General features: G+C 39.7%; 1 protein-coding gene across 5 annotated transcripts in view, besides 2 other annotated features; it reads left to right on the top strand.

The window, feature by feature from the left end:
• The window catches only part of GPC3 (glypican 3), a 449,850-nt gene that overhangs the window by 50,864 nt on the left and 371,256 nt on the right, over positions 1-27,730 (top strand). The gene's annotated exons all lie outside the window — the stretch shown is intronic.
• Positions 11,359-11,408: an enhancer, noted in NCBI's record as "active region_29976". NCBI's record gives its function as "activates an Ori minimal core promoter by ATAC-STARR-seq in GM12878 lymphoblastoid cells {active_cell/tissue: GM12878}" and the evidence as "EXISTENCE:reporter gene assay evidence [ECO:0000049][PMID:35858748]".
• Positions 11,469-11,518: an enhancer, noted in NCBI's record as "active region_29975". NCBI's record gives its function as "activates an Ori minimal core promoter by ATAC-STARR-seq in GM12878 lymphoblastoid cells {active_cell/tissue: GM12878}" and the evidence as "EXISTENCE:reporter gene assay evidence [ECO:0000049][PMID:35858748]".

Here is a 27,730-nt window from a genome sequence, read left to right as displayed (position 1 = left end):
AGCAATGAGGCGAAACCCCGTCTCTATAAAAAAAAAAATACAAAAAAAAAAATTAGCTGAGTGTGGTGGCACATGCCTATAGTCCCAGCTACTGGAGAGGCTGAGGTAGGGGATCCCCTGAGCCTGGGAGGTCAAGACTGCAGTGAGCTGTGATCACCCCACTGCACTCTAGCCTGGGCAACAAAGTGAGATCCTGTCTTAAAAAATATATATGTATATATATATAAATAAAGTTTGGCTGGTCTTGGTGGCTCACACCTGTAATCCCAGCACTTTGGGAGGCCAAGACGGGTGGATCATCTGAGGCCAGGAGTTTGAGACCAGCCTGACCAGCATGATGAAACCCCATCTCTACTAAAAATACAAAATTAGCCAGGCGTGGTGGTGCGTGCCTGTAATCCCAGCTACTTGGGAGGCTGAGGCAGGAGAATCGCTTGAACCCAGGAGGTGGAGGTTGCAGTGAGCCAAGATTGCACCATGCACTCCAGCCTTGGCAACAAGAGCGAAACTCCATCTGAAAAAGGAATAAGAATAATAAATAAAAATAAAATTTATAAAGGAGGTTTAGGCTGGGCTCAGTGGCTCACACCTGTAATCTCAGCACTTTGGGAGGCTGAGGTGGGTGGATCAGGAGTTCAAGACCAGCCTGGCCAAGGTGGTGAAACCCCATCTCTACTGAAAAAAAAAAATACAAAAAATTTAGCCGGGCATGGTGGCACACGCCTGTAATCCCAGCTACTCGGGAGGCTGAGGCAGGAGAACTGCTTGAACCCAGGAGGCTGAGGTTGCAGTGAGCTGAGATCGTGTCACTGCACTCCAGCCGGGGCAACAGAGTGAGATTCCATCTCAAAAAAAAAAAAAACAAAAAAAAAAAGAAAAGAGGTTTAATTGGCCCACAGTTATGCAGACTGTACAGGAAGCATAGTACTGACATCAGTTTCTGGGGAGGCCTCAGGAAGCTTTTACTCATGGTGGAAGGTGAAGCAGGAGCTTGCAACATCACGTGCCGAAAGCAGGAGCAGGAGAGAGAGAGTGAGGGGGAGAAGGGCCACACACTTTTAAATGATCAGATCTCCAAAGAACTCGCTATTGTGAAGACAGCACCAAGCCATGAGGGATCTGCCCTCACAATCCAAATGCCTCCCACCAGGCCCCACCTCCAGCATTGGGGATTACAATTCAACATGAGATTTGGTCCGGTACAAATATCCAAACTATAGCAAAGGCCTTTGGGAAGCTCAGCCCATAGGGAAGTCTTAGAATACTTAGATTGCAGTTCCTAGTTGGTCATTTTCAGGCTCTGGATCCTGCAACAAGCTGTCTGAACACCTTAGGGATCCTTTTCTAAACCTGCAGGTGAGGCTAGGTCTCCTTGCAATCCTCCCTAGTCCCCATCCCACCTGCCCCACACCATGTTCCCTTGCTCATTGTTGGCATCTCTAGGTTTCTAGTAACCTAGAAATGATGTGCTCTGGATAGGGTGGAGAATGTCTGTCCCCTTGACAGGACTGAAAGCAACTCAAGGGTCCGTTTTGAGTTCATCTCTGTATCTCTGCCCCCTTACTCAGTGTTGGTAGGTAGATATATATGGTAGATTTTCTAAATGTTTGTTGAGCTTTAATTTCCCAAAACCTTGGATTTCTAACCTATAAAATGGAGCTATTACATGTCTAGTCCATATTCTTATATTAGTTATAAGAATAAGAAGATGTATATGTAAAATTGCATATTAAACCAAATAGCGCTATATGCACACTTATATAAGGGGCTCTTATTAATTAGGGTTATTATGTGTAATTCACATTTTAAATATAAGGCTGTTTTCCAACAGGAAATCAGGCAAATTAATTTTCTTTGTCTGTCCAAAGAGATGAAGAGACTGGCACATTGGTTCTTAACTGGGGTCCATTAATAGGTTACAGTGGTTCCTTGAAGCCCCTGAAATTTTATGTAAAATTTTTTTGTATATGTGACTTTTTTTCTGAAGAGAAAGCACAGAGTTTAAGTCAGATACGTAAAGGGGTCTATGCCTCCCAAACAGTTAAGGACCACAGGGCTAGCTAATCTCTAAAACTCCATTCCACTCTAATTTGGTTTTATGAAAAATCCCAGTCTGAACAAATAGATTCAAATTATTATTATTTAATGGACTCAAATAAGCAGTCTCAGTTATTTTAACAGCAGTAAACTCAGGATTCTTAGATTTAATAATATCCATTTGGGTACTGATTGCTGGCATATTCTGCTACCATTCAGATTTCTACCTGGCTTGAGGGAAGAACTATTATTTTACATGTTGCCTCCCATGTCCTTTCTCAAACATAGTTATTTTGATCTCACCTATGTTGCTTTTAAGAGGGACTAGTTTGGGGCCTGCAGAATTAGAAGCTTTACCCTTATGGTTTTCAACTGAGTATAATAAACATCTTTTAAAGAAACCAAACAACAATAGCAAAGCTATAGCCCAGTGGAGGCATTAAGGGAGTTGCACCATTTAGAAATCCAGCTGTGTTTGTTCTGATTATAATCAGGCTACTGTCTACCATTTAGTTCTCTTGGGAGGTGATACAGTTAAAATCCCAGCATCTGTAGAAATAGCAAGTTTATCCACTCAGTTATATACACTGAGCTTTCTGTTTTAATAAAGAGAGGTGGGGTACAATGATCAGATTAAGGAGTATGGGCAATTTTTACCTTGAGCAGAAGGAAGCAGTCCTCCAGTGTGTTTTAGAATCCTATTCATTGCTGACACTGGGAGAAGACTGCTGACAATATGGGTAAGCTCACCTTGATCTTTTGGAGGGGAGCCTCCTCCAACCATTTAGAACAGTACAGTGGGAGGAAAACAAAACAAAACAAAAAAAACATACCACAGAGTAGGAGGTGGAATATAGAGTTTATATTCATGGCTCTGCTATGAAGCCAATAGTGTAACACCAGGCATGTCTTTTCCTGATGCTGAGCCTTGTGGGCTAGCTGTCATTTAGGGCTTAGTCCTTAGTCCTTCCAGGGCTATTGTAATTGTTGTTAATAATAATCAGGAATAATAGTGAGAGTTTCCATTTATTGTCTACTATGTGCCACTATGCTAGAGGGTTTTAATACATTTATTTAATCCCTGCAGTAATCCTGTTAAATAGGTAGCATTGTCTTCATTTGATGTATGAGGGAAATGGAAGCTCAGAGAGGGTAAGCAACTTGTTCATGTCCTATCTTCTGCCCCCTCCTTCCTGGGTCCTTCTTTCCCCATAGCCAGTGGTCACCAAGTCCTGTTGGTTATCACTGCCCTGGTTTCAGCCCTCAGCTCTATCCTGAGGATTTAATCGCTTTCTAACCAGCCTCCCTGCCTCAAGTTTTATACCTTTCCTTTAACATCTGTCAGGTTTTAAGATGTAACTGAAGTACCACGTTCTCCAGGACACCTTCCCTGACTACCCCCTCCACTGGATTAGGTTACCCTCCTTTGTGTCTCATAATACCTTGTATATCTCTAGTGTGCTTCATTAAAAATAACAATAGCAAATATTTAATGAGTATGTACTATGTACCGAGTATCGTTAGAAGCTCATTATATACATTAACACATTGAATCCTCACAGCAACCCTATAAAGTAGATACTGTTAGTACCATGTTTTACAGATGTTCAGTACCTTGCCATGACTTGAACTCCAGACACTCTTATTTGAGTGCCTGGTCTCTCAGTCTCTGCTCGATACTATCTGTTGCCTCAAGTACTATTTTCACCAGGAAGATGTCTATGGCTCATTTCTAAATTACTTTAAAAAATAATTTGTGGCCGGGCACGGTGGCTCATGCCTGTAATCCCAGCACTTTGGGAGGCTGAGGCGGGTGGATCATGAGGTCAGGAGATTGAGACCATCCTGGCCAACATAGTGAAACCCCGTCTCTACTAAAAATACACAAAAATTAGCCAGGCGTGGTGACACGCGCCTGTAGTCCCAGCTACTCAGGAGGCTGAGGCAGGAGAATCGCTTGAACCCATGAGGCAGAGGTTGCAGTGAGCCAAGATCGCACCACTGCACTCCAGCCTGGTGACAGAGTGAGACTCCGTCTCAAAAAAGAAAAAAAATAAAATTGTATTTGTAAAACTCCACATTAAAGTTTGAAGCTGAAAATGATCAGTTCTCAGGCATTTCTTATAGACTTGAAGTACTAAAAAATAATGGTAAGATCAGATAATCCCACACTTACATTAAACTAAATACTTTAAAACATTTCTGCTTCCATGAGACACATAGTCCCTATTTTCCAAGTAGGAAAACCAAGGATAGAGAGATGAGAAGTGATTTGTCTAAAGCAGGGTTTTTCAATATTGGCATTATGAACATTTGAACATTTGGGACAAGGTAATTCTTTGTCATGGAGGTTGTCCTGTGCATTGTAGAATGTTTAGCAGCATCCCTGGCCTCTACCCACTAGACGCAGGAGTACCTCTCTCCAGTTGTGACAACCAAAAATGTTGTCAAATGTCCCTGGGCCTGGGGCAGTTGGGGGGAGCTCAAATTCATCTTCCATTGAGAACCACTGGCATGAAGTCTTGTGTTGGCAAGTCACAGTTTGAAAACTGGCCTTCTAGCTCTAAATCTAGTTCTCTTTAATTTTTCTGAGTTGGCTCACATTCTCATTCTGATGGGGAAAACTGGTCCATGAGGCATGTTTGTACATGAACCTTTTTTTCATGGAATGCTCTTTGTATAGTGTGGGAATTATTTGGTGACTAACCAAAGAGGAGTTCACAAGTGGTTTACAGGAGTATTTTGTTGATTGAATCTAGTTATTCAATGTTGCCCGATTTTGTTTTCCTAAACAACTTTTGTGTGTGCATGGTATCTGAATGGATTTGATAGAAAAGAACATGTGTGCCAAGGTTTTTATTGTCTTTAGGCTTATGTGAATCAGCACTTTTACTTTACTAAGTTTCTGTTTGCCTCAAATGCCATGTTTTCTCCATCAGAAGTATTTGGCACATAGATTGTATAGTTTTACTAGTGGGCACTGCTGCTGTTTCTTATGAGAAGGCTTTGAAAAGATTGTTGCTTCTCCCAGGGTTTTGAACTTCTGAGAGAATTGCTTGTTAATAAATTATCTCTCCATTTAGGGCAATGTACTACCCTAAGAACTAGTCTCCTTGCAACCTGTGACCACCTGCCACCAAAAAGAAAGAGTAAAAATGTCTTGTATGGAGCAAGGAAAGCAGGGAAGCTAAGCAGGCCTGGCTGGACTACTTCACCTAGTCACTCTGTGGATTCCCAGGAGGCTGGGTGAAAGGGTAGGGGTTTCTTCCTTTTCCATTTTTGATATTTTTTTCAAATTACAAAGGTAATTTTCTAAGATGGAGAAATGCATACAGTATTTAGACATGCTTAATGAAAAAACAAAAAGAAAGAAACAATACAGAACTATATGGAAAACCAGTGGAACAGAATCAAGAACCCAAAAATGAACCCAAACATATGTGGTCAACTAATTTTCCACAAGGGCACCAAAAAGGACACAATGGAGAAAGAATAGTCTTTTCAATAAATGGTGCTGAGAGAACAGGATTTCCACATGCAAAAGAATTAAATTGGACCCTTATCTTATACTGTACATAAAAATCAACTTAAAATGGATGAAGACCTAAAAGTAAGACCTGAAACCATAAACCTTTTAGAAGAAAACATAGGGGAAAAGCTCCTTGGCATTGACCTTGGCAATGATTTTATGGATATCACACCAAAAGCTCAGGCTACAAAAGCAAAAATAAGTAAATGGGACTACATCAAACTAAAAAGCTTCTGCACAGCAAAGGAAACAATCAGCAAAATGAAAAGGCAACCTACAGATTGGGAAAATGGTTGCAAATATTTACAAACCTTATATCTGATAAGGGGTTAATATCCAAGATTTATAAAGAACTCATACAACTCAATAGGAAGAAAACATATAACTTGATTTAAAAATGGGCAAAGGACTTGAATAGATATTTCTCCAAAGATGACATAAAAATAGCCAACAGGTACCTGAAAAAATGCTAAACATCACTAATCATCAGGAATTGCAAATGAAAGCCACCATGAGGTACCACCTCACACCTGTTAAGATAGCTGTTATCAAAAAGACAAGAGATAACAAGTGTTGACAAGGGTGTAGGGAAAAGGGAACCCTTGCACACTGCTGATGGAAATGTAGATTGGTGCAACCATTATGGAAAACAGTATGGAGGTTCCTAAGGAAATTAAAATTAGGACTACCATGTGACCCATATGACCCAGCAATCCCAGCAATTTTTAGCACGTATATACCCCTCAAAATGAAATCAGTCTGTCTAAGAGATATCTGCACTCCCAATGTTCATTGCTGCATTATTCACAATAGCCAAGATATGGAAACAACCTGGTTGTCCAAATGGATGAATTGATAAAGAAACTGTTTCATGAATAGAAACATGAATAGAAAATGTTTCATGCAACATTATTCAGCCTTTAAGAAAAGGAGACCTTCCTTTTGCCACAACATGGATGGACCTGGAGGACATTAAAGGGGAAAAAGGTCAAATATACAGAGATATACAGAGATAGAGAATAAAACAGTGGCTACCAAGATTGGGGCAGGGGAAAGGAAATGGGGAGATGTAGGTCAGATGATACAAAGTAGCAGATATTTAGGATGAACAAGTCGAAAGATCTAATATATAATACATGAGGACTATAGTTGATAATAGCATATTGTATGCAGGATTTTTACTAAATGAGTAGATTACAGCTGTTCTTGCCACAAGGAAAGTGGGGAATGTGTATGTGAGATGATGGAGTTGTTAATTTGTTCCACTATAGTAAATATATATATATAATATATATATATGTATATTTATTACATCACATTGTATACCTTAAATATACACTGTAAAATTTATTTTATAAAAGAAATATAGAGAGTAAAAAGTGAAAGTAGCCAGGCATGGTGGCTCACACCTGTAATTCTGACACTTTGGGAGGCTGTGGCAGATGGATTGCTTGAGGTCAGAAGTTCGAGACCAGCCTGGGCAACATGGCGAGACCCTGTCTCTACAAAAAATACAAAAATTAGCCATGTTTGGTGGTGCACACCTGTAGTCCCAGCTACTTGGGAGGCTGAAGCAGGAGGATTACCTGAGCCCAGGGAGGATGAGGCTGCAGTGAACCATGATTGCATCAAGGCACTCCAGCCTGGGTGACAGAGGGAGACTGTCTAGAAAAGAAAAAAAAAAAGTGAAAGTCCCCCCTTTATCCCTCACTCTATCTTATTTATATTGTCAGCTGCATACACTGTAAAGAGTTTGATGTGTGTATCCTTCTGAACTTTTCCCCATGTATTTCTGTATAAATATGCACACACTCACTACTCATACAGTTTTTTTTCCTACATAAATGGGGTCATACCATATATACTATTTGGTAACATACCTTTTCACTTTATACATCTCTGGCATCGTTCAAAACAAGTACTTAAATACTTTGTACTTTAAAAAAAAAACAGCTGCATAATATTCCCACCCATCTGCTTCCCTATTGGCAAACATTTAGGTATGTTCTTTATTTTTTCTTTTCTCTTACAGTGCCAAAGGGAATATTTTAATTCCTGTGTTTCATGTACTGGAGCGGAACCCCTTAGGGTTTCCAGGGACAACAGGCCAGAATTGCACTCTCTGCTGCCTCCCAATGTGCAGAAAGAGCCAGTCCTTTCCGTAGTTCACTAGGGAAGTGAGTGTAATTGGTGGTTCCAGAGGAGTGACCCTGAGCAGTCTGCCTAGGAAATTGTGTTCTCCCTTTCAGCGTTCCAGAGGTCAAGGAACACCAAGCTCCAGGCCCAGTCTGGTTAAGCTACCTCAAACAAAAGACCTGAATCCTGCTGTCATATTGCAGGCTTGAATTTGCCGATTTGCCGGGGCGGTGGCAGGGGGGCGGAGGGGGGACGGTATTTTTGGTTAGATGCCTCAAACACTTTAATTTTTCTGTTACTGTCAGCCAGCTATTTAGTGAGCACTTACTGTGTGTCAGGCACTGCTGGGTAGTTTCAGACATGCACATGGTAGTCTATTCAGCTAAATTCCTCAAACATTGACGTCAGTCTGTCTATGGACATGATCTCCGTGTTATTTTTATTTCTCAATTAAGGGCTCATGGAAGAAATGCTTTGCTTTAGATTGTGTTTCAATTATATTTCACAAATAATCCACATTTGGAGTGTGGTTTAGTTCATTGTTTTGTTTTTGTCCCTATCCATATAAATCACTCTATAGAAAAACATCAGATTCTGTTTTCACAGAAGTCAGGGAAATAAGTTGTTTACACATCACCATTTGACTCCCTTCACCCCTGTCCTCATTACAAACATCTCAGCCACCCAATGAAGTTTATTTAAACTCCCAAGCCATCCATGCAAATAAGACCCCTACAGCTACGGAGTTTGGAGGAAGAAAGGACTAGGATTGTCTGCCACTTCCTTATTCTCTCTACTGGGTTCAGAACATTTCTTTTCATGAGTTAATTTACTACCCAGAGGCTTGGCTTTAGTTGTGTGTCCTTTTTCAGTTTTGTAAATTAGGGAGGTGGTTCCATAGAATCACAGCATATCAGAGTTGTCAGGGAGCTTTAGAAACACCATCAAATGCAACCCTCATACCTCTGTGTGACTCCTCTGTACAACATATTTTGGGTGAGTGGTCATTTGGTTTTGGAGTGAAAACCTCTTCTGATCAAGAACTCCCTCCCCTAAGAGGCAGCCGTTTAATTTTTGGTTAGCTTTAGTTGCTAGTTCTTATGTTTGTTGGCCCACAATCCATCTCCATGTAACTCTTTTACCATACCAGTTGCTTTCATGTGGCTTCTACTCAAGTAGGTTTCTACTTGGTTGTTATCCTTCTAAATTGTGGTACTCGGAATTGCCCAGTGTGATGCACAGGGTAGCAATTACCTCCTATTATCTACATAGTATTACTTTTATTGAGGCAACCAATTTAACAGCCACTCATGGTTGAGTTAGCAAGTGTTGTATTTATAATCAAGCAAAATTCTCCAAACTTTTATCACTGGCCTTCATTTCACCTTTGGGGATTTGGTCCTGTATTGATATGACATCTTACTAAATTTGAGCCCAGATTTTAGGGTTTCAAAATTAGTTAACGGTTCTTCCAGCTTTAGTAATTTGTAAATATGATCAGTGCATCATTTATGCCATCACACCAGTCATTGATTAAAAATATTGAGCAGAGAAGATACCTTAAAATCCTGATTAGAGACTTCCTTTTCAGTTGACATTAATCTATTAACTAGCACCTTTAGTACTGCCATTAAATCAGTGAGGGAACCAGCCAGTGGTGTTCTTTGCAGTCCAGAGCAGTCTCTCTTGGACATTACTCTTCACTTTGTCCAAGGCCCTCTTGAAATCCAGAATCAGTATATCCACTGGATTTCTCTGGTTTTCAGCCCAGTACCCCTATCATAAAAGGGAATGAGGTTACTCTGCCATGACTTGTTCTTATAAAACTGTGCCAGTTTCTTTTGAATGCCTCTTCCTTTTTGAAATGCTCACACATCTTCTGCTTGATGACATGTTCTAAAATCCTGTTGGGGATTGATGTTAGACTGGTGTGATTATTATTTGTGACAGCCACCTTCTTTTCCTTTGAGACAGGGTCTCACTCTGTCGCCAGGCTGGAGTGCAGTGGTGTGATCTTGGCTCATTGCAACCTCTGCCTCCTAGGCTCAAATGATGACAGGCACATTCTTTTCCTCTTTAAGGAATATGGAAACTAGATGGGCTTTGTTTTCACTCACCTTACCCACCTCTTCTACACCTCTGTTTCCACGAATACTTTTCTCTTTGTCACCTTTCCCAGAAATGGACTGACTCTCTCCTTCCCATTCATTCAGAACACTGCCCTCAGTTTTCCTAGGTGAGAGCTACTTCGTGTGGTAATAGGTCCTAATGGGCTAACATGTTTTTGACAATGAGTTTCTTTTTCCTATTCACTTTTTGAGCAGGGCCTAAGTCCCAATGTGTGATTAGAATGGTGGTAATTTGGGACACCATGGCAGGTTATTAATGTAGTGTGGATGGTGAAAACCTTTCTCTCAAATAGGTGGCTGCCCATTTCGACTTCATATATGGCTTTCTGCCAATTGTGTTGGGGGCGATTTCAAGTCAGATTGATTGGCTAATTGCTTGTGGTCATCTGGCTTTTTAGCTGCTTGTATAGCATCCGTGGAGGTAATTAGCACTTCCAGAATTGGGGGTGAATTGGAGTTATTCATGGTCATGGCTTTTGGAGTGGGAGCAGGGGCTGCACTCGCTTCTAGTTATGAGTGAATCATTTTTACTTTAAAATGATTACTGAGGATTGATGAGTTTCTTTAACAATTAAAAAAATCCATTATGGAGGAGTTTGATATACAATTGCCTTCTAGAGCCATTTAAAGTGGCCAGTTGGGTTCTATATATTGTGCGATAAACTCATTGGTAGGAAATAGCTTCAAAAGTGTTGAGCATTTTCTAAAAGCGACTGGAATTTCAATTGCAGCCCTGTACCAGCACACATAGTGGAATATTTTTCAGCCAAGTGTTAATGTTAAAGAATATATAATACATTTTTCATTTAAAAATTTCTTCATATGTAAATGTCATGTAAAAGCCACTGGTATCTGACAGTGATTCCCAAATTTAGAATCATCAGAATGTCAAGGTGATTTCTCCCTTTTAAAAACAATGTTCCTGGGCGATTTATAGGACGGAGAACAACCAAGCAGAACATCTCAGGACTGCCATTTCCTCACGTACCTGGCATTTGTCAGTGTCAATCAGTACTGAAATTCAACCTGTGGCAGTAAAGCAAAGCCGAGAGTCATCTGCTTATTTTGACTGTTCCTTTTTCATAATTAAATGGGAGCTGATGTTATCATCTTTGGAAGATCCAGCTTGAGGGTGACTTGCTTTTGCAATGCAAATAAACAGTAGGCCTGGGCCACTGCCGAGCCTAGGGCTGAGAAGCCTTGGCCCAACCAGCTGTTGTAATCCAGTTGTTCCCATGCTGTTCAGGGTGGTCCTCCAATCCTTTGACCTGCTGGCTGGGTTGTACAGCCCTCATCTTAGAGGTTCTTCCAGTTTTCCCTCTTTCTGTGTTAGATTCTCAGCCTTGACTAATGGCTGGAATTTATGGAAGGCTAGAAGGGAAAGGCAATAATTTCTCTCCTCTGTCTTCCCAGTGATCAGGAAGACCTACCGTCTATTTCAGGATGGGGGTGGGGTGGGGATTTAGGGAGGACATGTTTTAGATTATTCTCTCTTGAATTCTTGCTTTAGGGCTTCTCATAAAGGAGGGAGCAGTGTCTGAGACCTACCATGTCCTATCTCTCTGATCAGAGCTTCCAGCCTGCCTCCTCCACTTCCTGTGTTTAGCAAGTTTGATTTTTACTTTCACTTGCTTTTCTCTTCTCAGCCTGTCTCCTCTCCCTGACTAAATGGGTCCGATTTTGTTTCCTAAAAGGAGATTAAATTGCTCTTTGCTGGAAAAGAGAAACAAACAGTCGCTTGGGATGCTGTGTGTGTGTGTGTGTGTGTACACGCGTGTATGTGTTGGTAAAGGGTGCTCAGATGGGGAATGTAAGGCTTCTTGTTGGAAGTCTGTTTTCAATCCTAATGGCTCTTTTCATCCTAAAACTGTTTGGGTTCAAATCCTGGCTCTGCCTCTATGTGACCTTGGGCAAGAGCCTTATCCTCTTAGACCTTCATGTTCCCCGTCTTTAAAATGGGGCTAATAGAAGACTCTACCTCACATAGCTGTAGTCAGGATCAAGTAAATAAGCTGGGAAAAGGTGGGATGGAGGTGGTGGCAGTGGTACCTTTATTGTCACCCCTGTCATCCTTACCAGCAGACAGAACTGAGGGAAGTTGTTTTTGTTTTTGTTTTTGTTTTTCCTGAGGATCCAGTATTTGATCCAGAGGAAGTTGCACAACCTATCTAAGCCCAAACTGTTTCTGTCCCTGGAGACCAAGCTAGATCTTCTGGGGGCGGGGGGCAAGGGGGCGGTTGGTGGTGAATCAATCAAAGAGCTGTCTTCAGGAGTGGGAAGTGTCATGAGAATAAACAGCTGCTCCTTCCACCCTGCACCCACTCCTGCTGCTAAATTACTCTAGGGAAGAGGAAACCAGTCATCAAAGGCTTCTGCCACCTGTGCACAGCTGGTAGTTCCTGAGGTCACCCTTATAGTGGCTAGAGGAGTTTAGAAAGTATCCACTGGGTCAAGACACTGATATATCCATTTCCCAAAGGCCCAAGGACTTGCTGCCCCCTCCATCCTCCATTCTCAGAGCTGGAAAGCTCCTTTGTAAGGTGGGACCACAACTAGTACAAACACACTTTGTAAGTTGGACACACAAGGTCTTCCACAGTGCCATTTTGGGAACAGTATCCCTTGAGAGATTCTCAGTGGGAAAGGCGTAGGACCAGTCTTTCTTCCTCCTTTCCCTCTAGCCTTCTCTTAAAAAGGAAGAAGAGAAAGTCATTCTTCTTGAGCTACTTGCTGCCAAGTGTCATTCTCCCAGGGAATCCAGGCTGTTTCAGCCAGACTTCCCTTTTCCTGGCTTTAAGGTTACCAAGCCAAGTGGAAGTATACAAGGCCCAAAGGTAAAGTTCCTGTTCCAGATGGGGCAGAGTAGCCGGCGACTGCTAGAGGGCAGCAGAGGGCCAGGAGCAGGTCTAGAACTGCTTAATGGCCAGATGGCAACCAGACTACTGCCAGAGCAAAAGACGTCAGAGGTCCCTCATTGTTGCGGGGAGAAAGAAGTAGGATGGTCCCTAACCAGGAGAGACAGGCACATCCAGGAAATGTTAACATAACATGGCGGAGACACATCACAGAGCAGGCAACTGGGTTGGTATACAGTGCAACATATCAGGGTAGGCAGGGCCAACGTTTTAGTAAAAGAAGAAAGAAAGCATATTTGCCATAAAGATCAAGTCAGAACCAGTGCTACGGTCAAAGTTCAAGTCAAGGTTGAAAAAATCAAGGCTCAAAAGCTAGAATTGGACTGATTCAGCTCAGTTATTTATTGAGTATCTTTCAAGAAAGGCACAATAATGGAATAGTTAAGATCATAGACTTTGGAATCACATAGGAACTGGGGTTTGAATCACTGCTCTGCCATCTATTAGCTAAATGACTTTTTGTCAAGTTACTCAGCCTGTCTGCACCACTTTGAAATCATATGTACAGATGCTAAAGAAATGTTTGCTGAGCAAATCACTTTTATCCAGAGGTGTTTCTAGAAGGATTGGGGTTACTGATTGTAGCTCCCCACCTCAAAGTTCTATTCCATTTGGTTTAGTACTTGTTTTTGTCCCTTGTTTAAGATGAGTGGAGTGGCTACCGGTGCTGCCTTGGTTCCCAGCCAGCAAGGACCTGATTGGTAGTGGGGCATGAATAGAGCTAAGAGGGGCCCGGAGACCAGAGGAGAGAAACAATACCAAAGTTTCTGGGAAGAATTCTGAGATCAGTTAATTCATGTGCAAATCAGGAAGACAGAATATTCTGACTTATTCTAAAATGGTATTTTCTCTATATTTTCATAACCTTGTAATAGAAATAGCTAAGCTAAAAGAAAATCTGATTAAATGAAATGGCATTTTATGAGTCTTGAGTGAGGCAAAAATTTGGATTATCTTGTTAAACTTAAGTGAGCAAGTAAATGCAATGTGGTATTGTGAATTAGAGCCTGGGACAGATAAAGGACATTAGTGGGAAATCTGGGGAAATCCAAATAAAGGTGGTAGTTCAGTTAATCATGTTATACCCATGTTTATTTTTAAATTTTGACAAATAATCCATGGTTATGTAAGGTGTTAATATTAGGGGGAGCTGGATGAAACTAATTTTGCAACTCTTATGTAAATTTAAAATTATTTTAAAATAAAAAGTTTTAAAAATTAAGTAGCCGAATCTCTTACCATCAACAGTGATTAGCTCTGTTTTGGTTTTTATTTAATTGCACTGTGTCTGAAGACGTTTTGAAAATACATAGGATTGGGATAGGGATTAGCATATTTCTACTATATACTCAGTTTTGAACTCTGCCCTTTTTCCTCTTAACAATATACATGTGTATTTTCATATTCCAATAAAAGCTCACCTAAATGTGATTGTTAATATGTATAATGTATTTAACCAGCCCCTTATTGATATACATGTAGGTTGTCCCCAATTTTATGCTAGTGTAAATAATGCCACAGTTATCACCTGTGTACACATATTTTTATGCTCATTTCTAATGTTTCCTTGAGGGTAAAGACCTAAAAGTAAAATAATTGAGGAATATGAACTTTTAAAAAGATCTTGATGCTTAATGTTAAATCATCCTCCAGAAGAATTTGATCAATTTATATACCTATGAGCAGTGTGTGGTGTCTGTGCCACTACCTCCTTTTTCCTAATTGAGTCTATTAGGAAAAAGCATCTTTCTGCTTCATGTACTTGCTTTTAACTTAGCTCCTTTCTAGGAATTTCAGTTTCTTTCTTTTTCTTTTTTTTTTTTGACAGGATCTTACTCTGTTGCCCAGACTGGGGTGTAGTGGTGTGATCAAGCTCACTGCAGCCTCGATCTCCTGAGCTCAAGTGATTCTCCTGCTTCAGTTTCCTAAGTAGCTGGGACTACAGGCATGTGCCACCATGCCTGGCTAATTTTTTTTTTTAATTTTTAGTAGAGATGAGGTCTTGCTGTGTTGCTCAGGCTGGTCTTGAACTCCCGAGCTCAAGCAGTCCTCCTACCTCAGCTTCCAAAAGTGCTGAGATTACAGGTGTGAGCCACTGTACCCGGCAGAATCTCAGTTTCAACTCAGATTTTTTTTTTTTTTTGAGACAGGATCTTGCTCTGTCACATAGGCTGGAGTGCAGTGGCATGAACACACACATCGAGGTCGAGGCTCACTGCAGCCTTGACCTCTTGAGCTCAAGCAGTCCTCCTGCATCAGCCTCCTGAGTAGGTGGGACCACAGGGGCAAGCCACCTATGCTTGGCTAATATTTTTTTTAAATTTTCACAGAGATGGGATCTCCCTGTGTTACCCAGGCTGATCTCGAACTCCTTGGCTCAGGCAATCCTCCCACCTTAACCTCCCAAAGTGCTGGGATTACAGGTGTGAACCACCATGTCTGGCCAACCCAGACTTAGCCCTCTCTTCCTTTACCCTTTTACCATTTTTATATGTAATTCCTTAACGTGGTAGCTATGTGGGATATTATCTTTTTAAAGAATATATCTTACTGACATGTAACAGGAGATTCTCTTTGTCTTTTACATTATTTCTGGTAATATTATGAAATTCACAGACAATGTTTTTATATTTACATATACACACTTTAATGTCACCGAAGGGAAGGGGTTGTGAAAACAAGTGAAAGTTGAAGTTTAGGGAATCACTACCTACTGGAGTTGGAGAGCACCAACTTGGCATGACTTGGATTTACTAAATGTACCATTGCCTAGCACTGTACTCCTCACAGGTAGTAAGTACCTTCTCAATAAACAGGACGAACAGCTGAAATCTGCAGTGGTGCAATGGAGGCAAAAGGGTCTAGAATGTTCTTGGTGGTGGGAATGCCATTTCTGCTCCTAGTTCACTGTGTTGGGTCTCATTTGAATTCAGGGACCTTGCTTAGCACCTGTGCTTCTGGAGGAGAGTATCCTAGCTGGGTTGCTGGCCTCTTCTGCAGCAGGGACTGCTCTGTCAGAAAATGAGCTGCCACTGCAGTGGAGGTGGTTCTTTCCGCTTCTGTCGCCCTTCACAGTCTCAGCTCCTCTCGTATTTATAAGACTGCTTTAATAGTCTTGTCTTGTAATTACATCTGGAGACAGGAGACAGCATCTTTTGATAGTTCAAGTCCTAACGCATTTAAATTGCCCTCCTAATGCTATAAAAGAGTCAAATTATATATTCTGGTTTGTACTAGATAGCAATAAATGTCAAGGTGCCATCCACTCTGGTATTTAACTCCTTGCTGCCATCTGTTTTGGTGCTCTTCACATGGACCATACACTAGTGTTTTCCTATCTCCTGGCACGAAAGGATCAAGTTGGGAGATAAATCTCACTATTCAAAATATATTAAAAGGCAGAGGCAGTTTGTAAACATTGCTTTGGAAAGCTAGGCGTAGCAATAAAGTCAAGGACAGGAACCTGATTTAGTAAAGGAAACATTTCACTAGATTGTCATCCACTTTATTTTTAAAGCTGCAATAAGATGTAACGATAAAAAGGCCAATGATGCATTTCAGCCAAGTGATATGAACTCTTGCTAAACCAATTAAACTGTCAGTATACTATGGTTTCAGTTTCTATAACATACTAGGTCACCTTAGAATACTTAGTCACGTATGACTTTTTACCACTGATGCAAAATCAATTTGGCAATTTATAATCTTACATTTCATTATGAAAGTATATTATTCTACAAGAAAGCTGCTGGAAAAATGAGATATTTCTGAAGCCCATTCACTCCTCTCCTGCTTAAGTAGTCATAAAAGAATAAAACCAATCATGTTATCTGATGTTTTGAGAATTCTAGGTAGTTTTTTATTTATATGATTTTTTTAAAAAGATATACGAAGTATACAGTTTCTAACCCTGGATACAATTTTGAATGTTGGATAAAATTGTGGACATTAAAAAGTAAAAATTTTGATTAAAGAGCTCACTTTTTCACCTACGTTTTTCAATTTTGTAGTGTGTGGACAGAAAGAAAACTTTGCTTAAGTATGCCAGAGGGTGGGCTTTTTTAGTGTCCTATATTTGAGGTTTTGAGCTCCAGCTCTCCTCAAAGGGATAGAGCAGCTGGTTATTCATATTTAATACCATCACATTTTTCAATTTTGGTGTTTGGAAATTCTGAGTTATAGAATGATGAACCAGCAGTATTTGAGAGGTGGTGGGGAAACAGAAAAAGGAAGAGTTGGAGACTTTTATTGTTATTACTGTAATTTTTTAAAAAAATATCTTCCCTTTTTCTCTCTAGGACAAATGTAACACTGCTTTTTGAAAAACCAATGACAGTCATAAAACACACATGACAGATCCTTAGTTTTAGGTGCTCATTAGTACAGTAGGGGACAGATCTGTTCTTATACTCTCATATAGCAAACAAGAACATAATTAACATTGACTGTATAGCCCTTTACTTCTGCTATGAGCTCAGTGAGGATTTTCTTTAACTGCATTAACACTGGACCATTTAAACTTGAGGTTTTCATCTTTTTCAGTTTAAGTCATGGTTACAGAGTTGGCAGGGGTATCTACTATATTAATTTAGATTCAGTTGGGATCAAGTATGTCTAATTTACATATGATACAAGGACTGTGGGCCACTCAGGCATTTGCCTGCCTCCATTGTTTCAGGTAATTCCACTGTCATTGGTGTATCTCCTATTTGTATATTCTTTCTCAGACTCCAGTCTGAACACATGGAACACATTGAACAAAAAGAGAAACACAGAGCAGGAATTGACTAATTGAAATGAGACTCATTTCACACTTTCTTTCTTGCTGAGAAAGGTATTAGAACGACTTTCTGTGTGTTAAGTATGGAGATAGGCATTTGCACCTGCACTGTCTCATTTAAACTCACAACAACTCTTTAGCGTAGGTAATATTATTCTCTACTTTAGAGATGAGGACTGAGGCTCAGGGAGATTAAGGAATTTGCCATGGACATAATGCTAGGAAATGGTAGAGTTTAGTTTCCAATTCAGGACTTTCACTCTAATTTCAGTGTTCTTTTGGCTCCATTGGGGTTATTTATTATTATTATTATCATCATCATCATTGAGACAGGATCTCACTTTGTCACCCAGGTTGGAGTGCAGTGGTGTGACCATGGCTTATTGCAGCTTTGATTTCCTGGGCTCAAGTGATCCTCCTACCTCAGCCTCCTGAGTAGCTGGGACTACAGGCATGTGCCATCACACTTGGCTAAATATTTTATTATTTGTAGAAATTGGGTCTTCCTGTGTTACCCAGGCTGGTCTTGAACTTCTGGGCTCCAGTGATCTCCCTGCTTTTGCCTCCCAAAGTCCTCGGATTACGGATGTGAGCCACCATGCCCAGTCTATTTATTATTGTTGATACAATGAAGTCTTGATAAGCCAGACTACTTAGGGAATGGTAATATACCCTATGGGGGGGTTAGACAGTGGGAAAATTAACAATTTTGGCTGTTTTTAAAAAATTAATAATGTATTGGTATAATACCTGTTAACTTTAGAAAATTGAAAAACACAGATAAGAAAATTATTCACCCATAATACTAAGACCTAGAGATAACTACTCATAACAGCTTAGTTAACAGACTTTTTAATAGAAAAAAGTGTATATATACTTTTTAAAAAGTCTTGTAGTATACATACCATTTTATACCCTGCTTTGTAAACAACCTAACAATATATTGTGAACATTTTTTCCGTATTATTATGTGGATGCCAATGCCATTTTAATGGCTATGCAATATTGTTTGAGTGTACTGTCATATATTTAAACAATCCTTTTTTTTTTTTTTTTTTTTGAGACAGAGTCTCACTTTGCCACCCAGGCTGGGGTGCAGTGGTGTGATCTCGGCTTACTGCAACCTTCGCCTCCCAGGTTCAATCGATTCTCCTGCCTCAGCCTCCCAAGTAGCTGGGATTACAGGTGTGTGCTACCACGCTGGCAATTTTTTTGTATTTTTAGTAGAGACGGGGTTTTACCATGTTGGCTAGGCTGGTCTTGAACTCCTGGCCTCAAGTGATCCACCCACCTCCCAAGGTGCTGGGATTACAGGCTTGAGCCACAATGCCTGGTCAACCAATCCATTGTAACTATCTTAATGAGAATCAGTCTGCTGGTTTGAGAGTATCTGTCTGATGTCACAATGTCTGGTAAAGTAGTGGCTTCTTAAAATGTTCAGAATATGCATTTCATTATTAGGTAGCTATGATTGAATGTACATAATGTTGCAGACTTCTTTTTCAAGATGCTGGTTTCCTAGGACATGGCCCAAAAGCCTAACTTTTGAAACTTTTGCTTAGACATCCACAGGTAACACTAAGCCAGAAACCCCTGATGGGGAGTTAAATGCATGATGACCAAACATAATGTATGTATTAGGGGAAACAGAAACACTTTTTTCTCTTGAATTTTCATTGGAAGTGTCCTCTGGGTTGAAGTACTAAAGATTCAGGTTAAAAGACAATTATGACCAGGCACCGTGGCTCACGCCTGTAATCCCAGCACTTTGGGAGGCTGAGGCAGGTGGATCACCTGAGGTCAGGAGTTCAAGAACAGCCTGGCCAACATAGTGAAACCCTGTCTCTACTAAGAATACAAAAAATTAGCCAGGCGTGGTGGTGGGTGCCTGTAATCCTAGCTGCTTGGGAGGGTGAGGCAGGAGAATTGCTTGAACCCAGGAGGCGGAGGTTGCAGTGAGCTGAGATTGCGCCATTGCTCTCCAGCCTGGGCAACAAGAGCGAACCTCCATCTCAAAAATAAATAAATAAATAAAAAGACAATTATTTTTGTTAAATTGGTGTTGTGACTGTTAATCAATCATGGTACATCCATACAATGGAATATTATGATGCTGTTAACAATTATGCTTTCAAAGAATATTTTATGGTAAGAAAAAATGATCTTTTATGAGCCAGATGATGATACTTGTTAAAATTTTATAAAGAAAAGAATATAAAACTTTATATATATATATATATATATATATATATATATATATTTCCAGTTTGATGAAAAAATACATAAGCATCTATGCTGCATTATCTGGTTGTTTTTTTTTTTGGCATGGTGGGCTAAGAGTTAATTTTTGTTTCTCTTTTTATTTTCTGAATTTTTCAAAAAATTATAGTGATATATATCTTTTGCTACAAAAAAGAAATAATCATATTTGAGTGAGGGAAATATGAAACCATTACTTAATGCTAAAACTTTTAAAAAGTAACATTTTTGATTGTTAACTAAGTGCTAACTATACTGTACTAGCATATTAGTCTTTACAGCACCTCGAGGAAGGTACCATTATTGTCCATTTGAGGAAGTCATTTGCTCAAGACCACACAGATTGGATGGGGCAGAGTCAGGATTTCAACTTGGGTCTGTTTATTTCCAAAGACTGTGTGAGATAAAATATAATGGGGTCAAGAGACAGGAGGCTTATTTTTTCTTAACCAGTTGCAAACCGAGCAGTCTAAGCAGTACTGGGACGAGAAAGTACAAATTGAGAGCCAGGGTATAGGTATAGGGCATTTATGCTGGTGAAACCTGGGAGGTCCTTGGGTGCCAGAGGTTAGCCCAGGGGCTCTGAATCCCTGGGGCTGATAATATCTAGCCTCATAGCTCTATTGTGAGGATTAAATGAGACAATTCATGTAAAGGGCACATGATACAGGCTTGCTCAATAAATAGTAGCTAGTATTATTATTTCTCTTATTTAGGACCTTGCTTGTTATAGGGATTAGAGACTCCCAGAAGCCTGAGGCAAGACATGTTTACCCTAGTGAATCCTGTCACATCTTAATAGTCCTCAAACATTCCTCACCATTGAAATGCCTTTTATTTGAACCTTTCAAATAAACAAGCCTTAATCAGCTTTGTGGGCCCTACCAGCTTTTTTAGAAAACCTCTCTGCTTTTGGGGTGGGGCGGTATTTATTTACTCACTGAAAATAGGGACTTTGTGTAATACAAGGGAAGCAGGAGGTGATTGGTTTGGAGTTAATAGGCAAGCTTTTTTTTTTTTTCTCTTTAACTTGAGGAGGCTTGATTGGGTTATGCTCCCTAAAGACTCTTGGAGAGTCTGGGAATTTTGAGAACAAAAGCTCTGCAGGGAGGCCACCAAAGAGAGCAGGCTCTCCACCAATCTTTGTATGTTCTTAAATTTTTCATTCTATTTCTTTCCTCTCTTCAGTCCCTAGAATAGAGTGGCTTTATCTTGAAGCCATGGAGATTTACGAAACAACCAAGGTTGGCCTCCCTTTGTTGAGCTTATGAAAGCCATATTTAGATTGAGGAGGAATGTGTTTTTCCCTTGGGAGGCCCCTCTATACCTGCAGCCATCAGAAATTCCATATTAAAATCCCACGTTTAAGTCTTTACAGCTAAAGTCTGTTCTTGCATGTCTGGACCAGGTCCAGCTGTCAGACTGAGATATTATTGACTTTTTCTTCTCAAGTGAGTGGTTTACATCTGTTGGCTCCATTTCTTTACCACTAATTCTGAAACACCTTGTAATCTGACTTCTGCCACTGCCTCTCTGCTAAAATTTTGCCCTTGCAGGTTACCAGCAACTGACTTTTTGCTAAATTCATTGGCACTTATTTTTCCTCATCCCTTTCTTCTCCATGGATGTTTCTCTTCCCTTGGTTCCAGACACTACATGAATTTAACTCTCCTCCTACCTTTCTGAGTATTCCTTCTCTCCTTTGTGATGGAAAGTCTTCTTCCTCTGCCTCTCCTATGCAAATGTGATTGTTCCCCAAAGGGGTGCAGTGCTCCCTTGTCTCTCTACTCTTCATTCATTCTCAGAGCTTCAACTGCTTCCTCAATGCAGTTAACTTCTCCAGTTCTGACTTCTTACCCATGCCTAGTCCTATTTTTTTTTTTTTTTTTTTTGAGACGGAGTCTCCCTCTGTTGCCCAGGCTGGAGTGCAGTGGCACGATCTCGGCTCACTGCAACCTCTACCTCCCGGGTTCAAGCAATTCTCCTGCCTCAGACTCCCGAGTAGCTGGGACTACAGGCGTGCACCACCACGCCCGGCCTAGTCCTATATTTCTTACTGCCTAATAGTAATTAAAACTATCTTTTATGAGCCAGACATTGTGATATGTGCTTTATATACATCATCTGTAATCCTCACAACACTCTTCAAAGCAGATAGTCTTAAGCCCATGTTATAGACAAGGCAGCCAGTTCAAATAAGTTATAAAAGTTTTTATTTTTCCATTTCAATCTCTTAACATTAATTGAAACTCAGCAAGTCCAAAAGAGAATTCCTCCCTCTCTGGGTCCTAACTAGCTGTCCTTCTCACTTTAAGGCAGTGTCATTCTCCCACCTTCTGTTATATCACTCACAGGCTGAGAGGATTGAAAATCAGTCAGGCAATTGCTTTGGAATAACACGCACCCCCCTTCCCCCACCAAAAAAAAAAAAAAACCCAATTCCTTCAAAATCTCCCAAGCCCAATTCATTGCAACCCCAAATCTTGAAAATTAAAGTTTAAGCTATCATACAGTGAGCAATCCTCAACCATTATGAGAGCTAAATCTGATAGCTTTCACATACTGCGTGCTCTGGGCTGCCTAGGGTTAAGCATAATTCTCAGGATTTAGCTGTGCTTTCTTCAATCCTTAGGACTTGCTCTTCCCAAACGGGACCTTCCCATAGGCGGGGCTGCCCTAGGTTCTGTGTAGTTCGCCTTGCACAGGCAGTAATCCCACCCCTCCTGTGTAGAAGCTAGAAAGCCTATTGAAATGTGAGTGATTTAGCAATGGTATTTCTATATAAAGGTGTGACTTTCAATTCACTTTTTTTTGTAAAGAAAATTACTTACAAATGATGGTAGTTAGTATTCATAACAGCTGATGCAGAACACTTATTCACAGCTGATCTGGACATACCAATGTGTTGAGACAATGATTTTGAAAACCACTTCCACAGATTATTAGGGAAGGCCCAAATGCCCATCAGTGAGGGTCAGCTTTCATTTCTGTGTGGCATATTTGCCTAATGCTACAAAATTTTAAACTTGATACTACTCAAGAATCAGAGAATTGAGAAACTGAGCATTTTTTGAAGGCTGTGACAGGATCACCAGGTGACAACATCTCATTGAGATGTTGCACATGCCAAACCAAATGCTTTACTTGGGCTGTTTTTACTCCACTAGCATCTCTGTGACTCCTTCATTTTTTAAAGCGGAAATCTACCATAGCTGCCATCATTTTCAATGGGAGGAGTACAGAAGGTCAAAAGTTCAGTTATATACTGTTCTTGTGAAGTCAAGCTACAAGGAAGTATAGCCCCATTGGGAAATTTCGGTTATCTATTTGGTATGTCAGTTTCTTCTATTAGTAAGGTATCTGTGCCCCAAATTGTAGTGACACTACTATTTAATCAGACTTGACTAGGATGGCAGCATAGAGTTGAAAGAGAAACTCAGATTAGCCTTTGGTGACTTGTCTTCTTAATAAGGAAATTAGAACATACCTTTTAAAAAAAATCTGAGCGCCTGGATATTTAATCACTGTCATGAAAGGAAGATAAAAGGCTGATGTGTTTTCCAGGATGTTAACCTGTATCGAGTTGAACAAATGTGTAAATTAGTCCTATATGTACTGCATATAGACGTGATCTGTTCACAACTAGCACAGTACCTAGCATGTATTTGAGGCTCAATGAAAATTTGTAGAATGTTAATTTGTTACTTTAGCAAAACAAAGATTAAAAAGTACTGAATTATTAAGAAATGTCTCCCATAGTAGTTAGCATAAATAAAAGTTTGATCAGAGCAAAATCTAATTTGCAAAGAAGGTCACAGAAATGCTTATGTTTTAAGGAAAGCTTTATGCTAAAATGTAAAATATTAACAGTATCTTACAGGGCACTTTTTTTCTTCCTGAACATAGTACAGAGAGTGTTTTCACATTTAGCACATACCAATTGGATGAAAGACAGTGGGGAGGAGGTGAGGTTGAACACAGGGTCGCTTGGAAGCATCACTCCATCTGGACACAGATCATGGAGGACCTTGCATCAGATTCATTTGGGGACTCAATATTCTCTTGGGCTGTTCCTGAAATTCTTGTCCTTCAAACAAAGAGTTAGGCCTGATGCTAGTTAGAATCTGATCAGCAACTAGGGTTACATGTGATGTTCTATGCTCCTCAGAGAAAAGTAATTGAATAGAAGCCTACTAACAACTAGCTTTCCCCATAAATTGGTAGTCAATGCAATTGACAGATGGTTGTAAGTGCCTTCTTTGTGCTTAGATTGTGTGATGCCTTCTGTGAAAGTTTGAGATGTGGTCCTTGTCGCAGAGATGCTTAAAGGCAAGATACTCACAAATGAAATAGTTAAATAACAGTACAAGGTAGTTTGAGAATCATAGTTTGAGAAGGAACTATGAAGATCATTTAGTCCAAAATTTCCATTTTCAAAAAAGTTAAGCTCAGATTAGGAAGTAGAATTTCCCAGGGTCTGGAAGACAATTGGTAAAAGCTGGAACTAGCACTCAAGTCTGCCTTTTTTTTTCCATTCTGTTATATACATGGTTATATGATGTTTTGACATGCTTATATTGATCTGCCATTTTGATGCTGGGAACTTTCTGATGAGACTGTTTTGATATGGGGGTGCTTCTACAACAGCTGCAAAACAAACCAATAAAACATTCCACTACTTTTTTTTAATTTTTTATTACCAAGTAATGTGCAAAACAGACAGACATGCCCCAGCCCTCAGTTTCACCTCATCCCCCAGCCATGAGGATGGAGATCAGGGATAAGGTGGGAGTAGGGGTCAAAAATGGAATGGGTGTCATGGATGGGGTGAATCTCAGAGAAGAGATGAAGGATGGAGTAGGGGGTCAGGCACCATCTGGCAAGCAAAGCACACATCTCCAGGAGCCATATGTTTCCCACACTTGCTCATCTTTGAAAGGCCATTAATCATTTTGGGCATAGTATCTGCTCATTCTCTGAGAATTCTCTTATTTCTTGAATAGTCTGTGTCTTAAAATTTCTGATTCCAAACCTTCAAGAGACAAGATTCTAGAGTAGAGGAGTATGTTTGCGTCATAGTATGGTCTCATATACTCAGATCCAGGCTTCACTGGGAGTCCTTGAGTCAATGTCTGTCAGTTCTGTCATTAATATTCCCTGTAAAACCCCATGAAAAAATAATATGCATCTGTTATTTTTAAAATCGTAAAACTTCGATATTCTGATGGTTTGAGGGAATAGGTTTATTAGGCTCTTTAGAGGTTTATCTTTTTTTTAATACCAAACAAACTTAAAAATACATCTGTTTCCTGATTATACATATATGAATTTTTCACTTCCTCAAGGCAGTTTTTCATATGAAATTATTCTTTAAAATTTACTTCTGAAATATGGAGAATCTAAAGGCAAAAAGGAATGCGTAATCTAAAACATTCATATTGAAGAAAGTAGAAAGTGAGAGTTCCCTGTAATTTGGATAAGGGTTGAGGAAAAAGTATCAGACAGGTAAATGATAAACAGCTCCTAGTAGTCTGTTTTTATCATGGCTGCATCATGATGGCTGAATCAGAACAACCATGCCAGAATGTCAAATATAAATATGTCTTGATTTTAGCAGAACATTTGAGAGTCTTCTGTAATATCCTTGTGCATAGATTGTGAAATTTGACTGCATAACTAGTAATTAGGCAGATTCACAGCTGGTTGATCAGCGGATTCAATGTCAACCTGGAAGAAAATGTTTTTAGTGAAGGGCCACAGGAACTGTTTTTTGGCTCTGCCCAAATATTCGTTTATTTAACAAATAACAGACACTTACTATATAGAGGGCACCCTACTAAGCACTGTGAGGAATACACAGCTGTCCAGATCAGGGCCCCTGCCCTAAAGAAGCAGATTGTTGATCATAATTGATCACAAAGACAGGCTTTTTGCATTGCAGATATCGCAAAGCTGGGTGGCGTAGTTCAATATATAGGATGACAGACTCCAGATTTAAAATGATCTCAACTTGTAGGAACTCTAGGTCAAAACTTACAAGACGAAAGTTAACAGTGATAGATGTAAAGTCTTGAATTTAGGTTAAGAAAATTGCATATGTACAGGATATGAGAGATGTGACTTGGCAGCAGTTTATGTAAAAAGTTCTTGGGGATTTAGTTGATCACAAGTTTAATATGAGCCAACAATGTGGTGTAGCTTATTTTTTTTTTTAAGCAAAAACAATTTTAGGCTGTATTAGAAGCATGTGTGCTGCTCAGACCACATCTGGAGTATTATGTTCAAGTATAGTCACCACATTTTATGAACATTGACAAAGTTGAATGTATCCAGAAGATAGTGACCAGGATGGGTCTGAAAATCATGTCATATGAGAAATGGTTGAAAGAAAGAACTGGGGATAATTAGCTTTTACTTTAAGCCTCGGTTTAGACCCTTCAAGTCTTGGTTAGGTTCCCTTGCTATGTGCTCCACAGTCCTCTGAACAAGCCTCATGCCTTCCCCACTAGACCAAGGACTTTGTTAGGGCAGGGTAGGGGCTCTGTGAGGACTTTGTTAGGGCAGGGTAGGGGCTCTGTGTTCACTATGATATCCACAAGACCTAGCATGGGACAGGATGTGTCCTCAGCAATGGTCAGAGAATGAGTGAGTGAAATTTCCAATTGTGAGGGCCTTACGTAAAAATGATAAAGAACTGTAGTGCCTGGCATCTATAGTCATTAAATTAAAAAACGAACAAGGAACTTAGAAGAGGTCCTAAAAGTTTTTGAATGGTGCTTTTTGTTTTTTGGCCTCTCTGACTTTCTTTTGACCTTTGATAGTACTTGATACTAGACTTGCATGTCTGGTTTAACAGGAATCTTAAAAAGTCATCTCTCCGAAAGGAGCATTTTTTTAAAATAGGAGAAAGTTCTGGCACTAGTATCAAGGAGATGCAAAAACAATGGGATACCATTTTTTACTCGAAAATTAGCAAAGGAATATATATATATATGTAACATATATAAATATATAAATATCTGCTATCAGTAAGGATTTAGTCAAATGGACACATTTGTACATTTCTGGTACAACCCTTTTGGAACAGCAATTTGGCAATCTGTATTATCAAGGGCCTAAAAATATTCATTGTTTGATCCAAGAATTTTACTTCTGGGAACTTCTCCTAAGAAAAGTCATCCTGAATACAGGGGGGAGAAAAGCTTTATGAACGGAGGTGTTTTAGGAAAACAAAAAATTGGAAACAATCAAAATGTTCCATAGTAGAGGAGTGAATGGTTATATAAACTATGATATGTCCATTTGATAGAATGTTATAAAGCTTTGTAGTTTGTAGTTTCAGAAGCATATAAAGCTGTGTATATAGTATGATATAACTGTGTGAAAACAAACAAACTGAAATCTGTACATAGATAAAATTCTATGAAGTCTTATACCACAATGTGAACAGTAGCTATTTTTCAGTGGTGAGATGATCAATTATTTTTGCTTTTTTTTTCCTATTTTCTAAATTTTTCATTTAAAAGATTTTATATTGAAGACAAATTTTGTAGTGTGCCCTATTGTGTCTAGAAATAAACCTTGTATGGTTTTGAATTTCTAGTTCAGGTCTTCAACATTCCTGTATATTTCCAGTTTATATGAAGGGACTTATGAAATTGTGAGGAAAAAACAAACCCAAACATCTTCAGGGCAAAATTGATTTTAATTCTAAAGTTAATTGAAATTAATTTTAATTCACTTTAATTTAAAACATATATGTAAACGTATGTCATGAACACTTTTAGGTCAGGGGTATGTTAAGGAATCTCACGAATAAAAGACTACAACTTTTTTTTTTTTTTTGAGATGGAGTCTCACTCTGTCGCCCAGGCTGGAGTGCAGTGGTGCGATCTCGGCTCACTGCAAGCTCCGCCTCCCGGGTTCAAGCGATTCTCCTTCCTCG

The sequence above is a fragment of the Homo sapiens genome, chromosome X (genome assembly GCF_000001405.40).
Source record: "Homo sapiens chromosome X, GRCh38.p14 Primary Assembly".
NCBI lineage: Eukaryota > Metazoa > Chordata > Mammalia > Primates > Hominidae > Homo > Homo sapiens.
The sequence above is the reverse complement of the archived record's forward strand: the minus strand, read 5'-3'. Positions and strand labels throughout refer to the sequence as shown.